Source organism: Homo sapiens, chromosome 3 (genome assembly GCF_000001405.40).
Source record: "Homo sapiens chromosome 3, GRCh38.p14 Primary Assembly".
Lineage (NCBI taxonomy): Eukaryota > Metazoa > Chordata > Mammalia > Primates > Hominidae > Homo > Homo sapiens.
Window position 1 is genome coordinate 40,050,710 of NC_000003.12, and position 10,255 is coordinate 40,060,964.

Genomic DNA, 10,255 nt, shown 5'->3' on the forward strand with positions numbered 1-10,255 from the left:
AAACCTTTTGGAAAGGATTCACCATTCTAGATGTCATAAAGAGCATTTGTGATTTGTGAGAAGAGGTAAAAATATTAACAGGCGTTTGGAAAAAGTTGATTCCAGCCCACACTGATGACTTTGAGGGATTCAGAACTTCAGTGGAGGAAGTAACTGCAGATGTGATAGAAATAGCAAGAGAACTAGAATTAGAAGTGGAGCCTGACAGTGTACTGAATTGCTGCAATCTCATGAGAAAACTTGGACAGGTGAAGAGTTGCCTGTTACGAATGAGCAAAGAAAATGGTTTTTTGAAATGGAATCTACTCCTGGTGAAGATACTATGAACATTGTTGAAATGACAAAAAAATGATTTAGAATAGTTCATAAACTTAGTTGATAAAGCAGTAGCCAGGGTTTGAGAGGATTGACTTCAACTTTGAAAAATGTTTACTGTAAGTAAAATGCTATCAAATAGCATCACGTGCTACAGAGAACTCTTTCATGAAAGGAAGATCATTCAACATGGCAGACTTCATAATTGTCTTATTTTAAGAAACTGCCAAAGCCACCCCAAACCTCAGCATCCACCACCCTGATCAGTTAGCAACCATCGACATCAAGACCCTCAACCAACAAACAGATTACAACTTACTGAAGGCCCAGATTATTTTTAGTGTTTCTTTAGCAATAATGTATTTTAATTAGCTGTGTACATTTTTGGGGCACAATGCTGTTGCACAGTTAAAAGACTACAGAATGTTGTAAACATAAATTTTATGTGCACAACATTTAATAGACTACAGTATAGTCTATCTAACTTTTATATGCACTGGGAAACAAAAAATTTGTGTGACTCACTTTTTTGTGATATTCGCTTTATTGTGGTGGTCTGGAACTGAACCCACAATATGCCCAAGGTGTGCCTACATTACCTTTAACACAGAACAATTTGGAAAATTGTTTTCAGTGAATGGGAGAAAAATTATTCTTGGAACTGAAATCAAAACACAGCTCATTAAGCTTGTGGCATTTGCTTTGGTTTTTCTAAGAAAACTTAAGGCTTCTTTTCTTTTTCCTTGGAATTGAGTATTATTTACTTCTATCTAGTCACTTATTACTTGGTATTCACACAGCCCACATACCTCATAAATTGCATCTTGTCCTTTTGGAATAAACTCCACAGTATGTTTTATTTATTTATTTATTTTTATTGATATATCTTAGTTGTATGTATTTTGAGGGTATGTGTGACATTTTGATACCTGTATATAATGTGTCGTGATCAAATCAGGGTAACTGGAATATCCATCACCTGAAACATTTATCTTTTCTTTGTGTTGAAAATGTTACAATTCTTTTCTTCCAGCTATTTTGAAATATACAATAAATTGTTGTTAACTGTAATTTCCCTACTATACTATTGAATACTATAACTTTTTCCTTCCATTTAACTGTATTTTTGTACCCTTTAACCAACTTCTCTTCATCCCTTCCTCCTCACTTCCTTTCCCAGCCCCTGGTAACCACCGAAATTCTACTCTCTACCTCCATGAGGTCCACTTTTTTAGCGCCCACATATGAATGAGAACATGTAATATTTGTCTTTCTGTGCCTGGATTATTTCACTTAATATAATGACCTCCAGTTTCATCCATGTTGCTGCCGGTGACAGGGTTTTATTCCACAGTATGCTTTAGAGATACTCCAATGTATTTGTAATATCCTTTGAAAAATACATTAAACAATTATCACCGTGGGCTAAGAATATGCACAAGTTAACAAATATATGGGGAAATATTGAACCTCATTAGAAATCAAGGGAATAGAGGTTTATGCTTCAAGTAGTTTTTTAAATTAAATTAGTGGCACTCTTTTCCATTGCTGGGGAAGTATAAATGGGCACAACATTTTACCATCATGTATCAAGAGCCTTTAGCATATCCAAGCACTCTTTTTCCCAGTAATTTCATGTTTGAAAACCTACAACTGATGATGTAAGATAATTTTTTAAATGCTGTACAAAAATGAGTTATACTGAATTATTTGTAATATAAAGAATATTCATAATCTAAATGCTCAACAATAAAATGGTAGAAGTAAGTTAGGACACATTCAACGTGACACAATATGATAAATCCTTTAAAATAATGTACATGTTTTGTTAGTATGGGTAAACTCTTATATTAAAATGTTAGATTGAAAACTGCAATGCAAAATGTACATATAATCACTATGTAATAAGGAAAACATAGAAAAATAGAAAAGGAAATATACAATCAATGATATTAGGAGTAATCATTCTTTAGGAGCTAGGCTTGTGGATTATTTTCTTCTTACCTCTATTTTCCATTTAGTTTCCAAGTTTTCCACATTTTGCATGCATGCTTTTATAACCAGGAATAAATAAACATAAAGAAATGTAGGACTTGCTCCCTTCTCTCTTCCCCATTCCAAAATCCTCTCCTTTATCAGCCTAGTGTTGCCCTTCCCCCCATCCCTGCCCCACTTTAAGCCACAGGGCTGATACCACCTGGCTTCCCAGGGATAATGGAGCCACTGAAGGGGACATGTATTTTGAAGTCCCAATTAATGGGCAATTTAGGTTAAGATACTGCCCTGTCTAAATCAGATCTCTGCAGAGACTGTAACCACAGAGCTCAATCTGAATCATTGTCAAAGTGACCCTAAGTGACCATGAGGTGGATAGGAATTCTTTAAAATTTAAATTGCCACCAGTGAAAGCTAAACATATTTTCCATTCACTAGTTCTTTAATATCAATAGATTAAAGAACAAATAAATGTATCAAGAGGACTTGCTATGGGTATGGGATTGAATTTGTCTTTTCAGATGAGTTGTTTCATTTAATCCTTACAAGAACTCTGTGAAGGGCAAGTGATAAACCACGTGTAGGGCCAGGGAAGTCTGAAACTTGGAATGATTATGTGGTTGTCTCAAGGTCACCTTGTTAGTCCCAAGTTCAGGAGTCTCCTTACAATATCCTCAGGAAAACAGCCTGAGCCTCTGGGTCCCCTGCCTTCAACTGCTCAACAGGCTTCCTTACTCAACCAGGCCCTGCACCCTAGTTTAAGTCTTTAGAGGAATAGCCAGCCTGTGCTCCCTCACCTCAAAAGAATGGTGGTGATTTCTGCTTCCTCTTGAAGGCACTTGTGTCTACAAGGCACTTAACTGCACACTTGGATTTCCTGAGCAGCTGTAGTAGTGAGAACAGACCTGAACAGGGGAGTAACCATCAGGGAACACAGCCCCAACACAGCATAGTGGCCTCACAGCCCATGGGTATAGCATTGGCACTCCCGCTAACTGTTTTGTCACTCTGGCTGCCTTAAGTTCATCTTACCTGAGGCCTTTCAGCTCTAACATTTATCCTATCTGGACCACAGAGGATGAGTTGGTGGTATCCACTGAATGATTGAATCCTTAGAAGTCTGTGTTCTTAGTGAAAGTATATACCATGACCTTGCACATGAGGTGCATGAATTAAATCTTTAAGTTATTTTGGAAACTCATTGGCCTCCCAATTCATCTTTTAATAGGATTTAAAAGAGGAAGAAAAATGAAGCTTTACCTTGGTATACAAAGTTTGACAGGCTTTTTATTAAATCTGTAATGTCCACAATATCTGAGCATTTAGGATACATTTATAGCCTGATCACCATAGGTTTTTATTAACATGAGTTTGTTTGCATAAGGGACTATGATGGTTAATTTTATGTGTCAACTTGGCTAGGTCATATCACCTAGGTATTGAGTCAAATACTAGTCTGGATGTTGCAGTGAAAATATTTTTTAGATAAATTAATTTAAATCAATAGACTTTGAGTAAAGCAAATTGCCCTTCACAATGTGGGTGAGCCTTATCCAATCCACTAAAGGCCTTAAGAGAAAAAAGACTGACCTTCCCAAAGATGAGGGAATTCTTCCAGCAGTCTGCCTTCAAACTCAAGCTGCAACATCCACTCTTCCCTGGGTCTCCAGCCTGCCATCCACCCTACAAAGTGTGGACTTGCTGGCCTCCACAATCTCATAAGCCTATTCCTTAAAATAAATGTCTCTCTCTGGCACTTTAGCTAGATGTTAGCTAGAATGAAGGGGGAGTGGATGCCTTGGCAACCGTCATCGTCTGCCGCAAGGCATATTTTCAAATTACTGGAGATTTTAGCAACTGAAAAAACATCACACTGGCTAATAGCATAGTTCTTATTAACTCACTATAGATTCATGGACCAAGGAACACTACTGAGAGGGCCACATTTTTTGGCCTTGGAGCAATTAGGGTAATAAGAAATCATGGGTTCTTAAGCTCTGTTTTCTTTTAACAGTCACCAGCCTAGCAGATGTCATCACTGACTCTGCTTATTTACATGGTAGGGAAAAAATGACAAATATTTAACTGCTTTACACTCTGGTATTTAGGTTTGTACCCAGTCTTGAGGCCTTTAGGCATTTCCTTAGCACCACCTTTTTATCATATAATCAATCAAGTACATACCCACCAATCACACCAGTGTTTGATATATCTTAGTGGCATTACAATGAAAACTACTTCTGAAAATATAATAAGCTGCAGTATTAGATATGCTACAAATGTGCTTTAAGGTTTTTGGGAAAAAATAAAATGGGAAAGTTTATCTTTTGTTCAAGTGCCAGTATAAAAAGGCTATCAAATAGAAAACAAACTGCCATCATAGGTAATGCTCCTCATTTAGCCCCTAATTGATAACACCTTTAAATTAGGGGAGAAAAATCAATAGAAAATGCTCTTTAAAATTGAGGCAACAGTTGAACAGCTTGTCATGAGTTGAGGCGGGAGAAAAGCCAAAAACATAAAAAGCACCTGTGACTCAGATGTTTGATGACTTCTGGAGGAAGAATATGCCCACCTCTCTGGTTTGCTTCTCATCACTCAGCCATACCATACCAAGGACATGAACAGGCCTTACAACAGATAATCCCCATTGTAATCATTTTTCATCTGTCCATAGCACTTTACTGTTTTCATATGTTTTGGTTGAGGAGTTACATCCAGGCCAAACAAACCTTGTTACAATGTCTTTTACTAAGGAACATAGCTCCTCTACTCTGGCCAGTCTTGGACCAGGATCTAGACAGCAAGGGTAAGCTGAGAGCCCCACAATAGATTCCAATTTTAACACGAGCTGGAGGTTTTCTTTAACTAGATAATACAGAAATAAGAGAATTAATCGAAAATGACTAAATCCATGCCATGAACTAAACCATATATGATTATTAGCATTCACATAAACATCATTGTAATTCAACAAATATTAATTAGTGTACAGAGGGGTTTTGATGTTAACATCTAATTCTTCCCCACTAAGGAAGTGGTAAAAGCTTAGCCAGCACGTGTGACAGGCATCCCTGGCTCTTTAGCGAGCTTGTGTGGTTCTTTGAAGATCATCAGCTTGCTTTGGGAACCATGCCTGGGCATTCTTTCCGTTCCTTGGGATGTAATTAAATATGAAGCTAGTTAGGGCAAGGGGATACTTCCCTTGCCACCACCACACATATCTTGTGATTCAATTGCCTCCTAGCAGTGTTTATTCTACAGCTTCCAACTTCACTATCAGTTTTCCTGATTGAGAACATGGGAGAACTTATCAGGTTGGTTTTCAGCTAAGTACTTGCTGATTTTAGACCTTTGGCCTCAAGCTGGAGGCCTGCATCCCACTTCTTGACAACCCTAAGCACAGCAAGTATACTCTTAGAGTCTCTTCTCAGAGTCTTTCCCATACCACAGTTTCTCGAGGCTTATGGTTTTCTTTTCTGGATAAACATGGCTGTTTCCCAGCTGCTGTAGGGGCAAGCTTTAATTAGAGAGAATTTTATTTAACAACCACTATGTGCTAGGCACTGCTCTAAGAGCATTATAAATATTAACTCTTTAAATATGCATAATTATACCACGAGGTAGGTACTATTATTTCTCCATTATATTTATAGAGAAACTTAAGCACAAATAAGCTAAATAACTTAGGTTAATTAATAGATTAGATTTCACTAAGGAGCTTTAGTTTAATAGATGGAATTGGATTAACTTAAAAATCCATAGCGCATTATAAAATGAAGCAGGTTGGGTACCTTCCCGAAGTTGTCAGTCTGTGGTATGTGTTGGAATTACAGACTCTGGAATTAAATACTTGAATTGAAATCCACCATTCACTATGCAAAGGGTAGGGGTAGCAGTGCCCATCCCTTGGAGTTGTTGTGAGGATTAAATCAAGGAAATTTGCTTCAGTACCTGACATTTATGTGTTTAGTGAATATCAGTTACTTTTATTAATTACTGCTGTTATTGATGTGATAGTAACAGTGTTGCCGGCTTCTCTAGGAGCCCTAAAGAAGAGCCCTTTAGCATCTATGGACTATGCTGGAATGAAACTCAACACCCCCACCACCTTCCACACCTTCTCTTCTTTCCTCCCTTCACCTTCATGCTTGGTTCCCTATCTACTAGATTCTGGTAAGCTCCAGATTCACAAAAAGAGCCTCAATTAAGATTTTGGAGAAGCCTAAACAGTCCTATGTCAAAAGCTGCCAAGAGCCAGGGTGTTCTTCACATTTTCCCTCAGCCTGACTCATCAAAGCCGGCTTGTTACTGGGATTGCATTTTGGAACTAAGGCAGCTGGTATTTCAAAGGGGCTGAAGTTAAAAAGAAGAAATGAAAAATATCTCTTTTCTAACACATCAGAGCCCTTGAATGAATTAGAACAGCAATTAGAAGCTAACGTTAATCTAGACAACCTCCGTATGTCATAAAATAGGAGAATGATGCTGACCTGTAAGAACAGGCACCATATGCCTTGGTAACTCCCAGCAAGTCCTGCTCAGAGGCCCCAGTGGCTTCTCACAGACCACCCCTGTCCCAGAACTCATACTTTCTCTGTCTTAGTGGTGCACACATGGAATGATGGAGCCTAAAATATGTTATCAAAAAGGTAATGATCTTCTGCACTAGAAACTTGTGTTTTGGGAAGGCCAGAATTTTCCTCTGCTAGCAACATCTTCCAGAGGAAGGGATGGGGCTTTGCTTTCTTTTGGGGTTCTTTTCCATCCTATATCCATGCATTAAGTTCATGTGCTCTGCATCAGACAGATTAATGGGTTTGAATGCTGGATTAGCCACTTATTTGCTGGGTGATGGTGGACAAGTTATTTAACCCTTCTGAGTTTGGAAGTAACAGTACTTTCCTCAAAAGATTATTGTAGAGGAAAAGAGGGATACAGCACAAAAATCACTTAGCAATGACTTAGCTGCAATGACTCAGAGCTATTACTATGATGTTTTCATTTTGAAGTTGCTGCATGGGTATTTACTTTATAAAATATTTAGCACCATATCATTGTTTATGATTATGAAACCATTTTCTCAATGTGTAGTACTTCTTTTTTAGCACGCAAACAATTTAATTTCTATAATTAATTCCCATAATTTTTTTCCCAGCATTGACCTAAGGCAGTTAAAGATACCACCACTTGGGAATTGGTGAATGAGGAGACTTAGGTACCTTCTGAAAGACTTCATAGGATCATACAGTGAATGTTTGAGGATATTAAGACTCAAGTCATCATCTAATAAACTTAAGTGTGTATTACTTTAAGTTTTGAAGTCCCTAGAAACTAAAAAATATGTGTAGAAGACTATAGCTTCAAGACAAACATCAATTGAAAACTATTTGTACTGTATCTCAATAGGCATTTCATTTTTTTCTGCTCAAAAGTTTTAATCATCAAGCTAAGTTAATATTATATAGCTAACATTTTTTAACTTGACTACATGAATGTCTTCTTTAATGTGCAATTTTTAAAAGTTTGCTATGCAATTATAAAGTTATACCAAGAGAATTAAGAATGAGATTACAAATACTTATGGCTCCTTCACTCAGATTATGAACTAAAACATTATCTATCCTAAGGAAGCCCCTGAGTCCTCTTTTTTAATTGCATTTTTCCCTTCCCCCAGAGATAATCACCATTTTGAACATGGTACTTGGGTTGTATTCACTAATGGTGGTTTCATACTTTCAATATGTCTATACGGATTCTTTTTTTCTCTTTTTTAAATTATACTTTAAGTTCTGGGATACATGTGCAGAACGTGCAGGTTTGTTACATAGGTATATATGTGCCATGGTGGTTTGCTGCACCCATCAACCCGTCATCTACATTAGGTATTTCTCCTAAGGCTATCCCTCCCCTAGCCCCCCACCCCCCAACAGGCCCCGGTGTGTGATGTTCCCCTCCCTGTGTCCATGTGTTCTCATTGTTCAGCTCCCACTTATGAGTGAGAACATGTAGTGTTTGGTTTTCTGTTCTGTTTTAGTTTGCTGAGAATAATGATTTCCAGTTTCATCCATGTCCCTGCAAAGGACATGAACTCATCCTTTTTTGTGGCTGCATAGTATTCTGTGGTGTATATGTGCCACATTTTCTTTATCCAGTCTATTATTGATAGGTATTTGGCCTGGTTCCAAGTCTTTGCTATTGTGAATAGTGCTGCAATAAACTTACGTTTGCATGTGTCTTTATAGTAGAATGATTTCTAATCCTTTGGGTATATACCCAGTAATGGGATTGCTGGGTCAAATGGTATTTCTGGTTCTAGATCCTTGAGGAATTGCCACACTGTCTTCCACAATAGTTGAACTAATTTACACTCCCACCAACAGTGTAAAAGCGTTCCTGTTTCTCCACATCCTCTCCAGCATCTGTTGTTTCCTGACTTTTTAATGATCACCATTCTAACTGGCATGAGATGGTATCTTGTTGTGGTTTTGATTTGCATTTCTCTGATGACCATTGATGATGAGCTTTTTTTCATATGTTTGTTGGCCGTATAAATGTCTTTCTTTGTTTCTTTGATTGGTGATCTGTCTTTTCAAAGACACTTTGTCTTTGAGTTCTTGAGCCCTTGCCTTATTGAGTTCATGTTTCTATTAGGTTTTCCATAGTGCGAAATCCTCAAGAGGAATTTTCTTTTGTTTTTTCTTGGATTTTCTTAACTTCCAGACTGGGTTCTTCATCTCCTTTTTAGATACTGGTCTAAGCCAGGTGTTTTGTGGTTGCCCCGTGAAGGGCCAGATCAACATTCCATCCAAAATTAGTTTCCATGTTGAGATGACAACTCCAAACCCACTAAGAGGATATGAAAAAGTTCATTATTCACATGATGGGACTTTGTGAGGCAAACTGGAAGGCTCATGCCAGTCCAGATAACAAGCAAGGCAGAGAGAATGGGTTGGGCCCTTACAGTGACTAGGGAGTGGAATGGGATAAGGCTTTCTGCATGTGGTGTGGGACTTGAGTGTGTGGGCTTTCTTACCACCTTGCCCAGATATAGGACAAAAGCAAGAGAAAGAAGAGAGATAGGGCTTCAAAGCTGTCAACTGCCAAACATCAAAAATTGAGTCTTTTTAAAAAAAAAAATTTTACAAGGTGTCATTAATTTTGTCCCTCAGGGGTGACCCCTGCTTTGGGAAACTCTGTGCTCTGATCATTTTGCCTGAGAACTGTGAGTTCTTCTTGGATGGTTTCAGAGAGGACAGCAAGGCAGTGATGCCTTTACTCTATCATTTTTAACCAGAAACCTTTGTCTAAATGCCTCTTTATAAATGATATTGATGAACCAAGAGAGTTCTGCCACTTTTAGTTTGTGGACTATGTTTTGCTTGAACTCAGATTTTTTTTTTCTTATTTCAAAGGAAAAACACTGACAAAAAAGGCAGCATATATTCTGTTGGTGGTTATTTTGCGAATAAGGCTGACATGTGTATGGTTATACTTGAATATTTTAGAGGGCCATGGTTACATCTTGGAAAACATTATGGATTTGGGTATTAGATTTTCTTTTTTTTTCTTTTTTTGAGAGAGAGAGAGAGAGAGAGATTCGCTCTTGCTACCCAGGCTGGAGTGCAATGGCGCTATCTCAGCTCACTGCAACCTCCACCTCCTGGGTTCAAGCAATAATCTTGCCTCAGCCTCCCTAGTAGCTGGGATTACAGGCGCCCACCACTACACCCAGCTAATTTTGTGTGTTTTTAGTAGAGACGGGGTTTCATTATGTTGGCCAGGCTGGTCTCGAACTCCTGATATCAGGCGATCCACCTGCCTCGGCCTCCCAAAGTGCTGGGATTACAGGCATGAGGCACCACGCCCGACCTAGATATTTTTATATTAAAGAAGCAAAATAAAAATGTATAGGTTTTCATAATTGAATTGGATGTGCTTTCAT

The 10,255-nt window shown here is 38.1% G+C and overlaps 1 protein-coding gene across 6 annotated transcripts in view; it reads left to right on the forward strand.

Moving 5' to 3' along the window:
• MYRIP (myosin VIIA and Rab interacting protein) overlaps window positions 1–10,255 on the forward strand; it is a 451,408-nt gene that overhangs the window by 241,796 nt on the left and 199,357 nt on the right. The window lies entirely within an intron of this gene.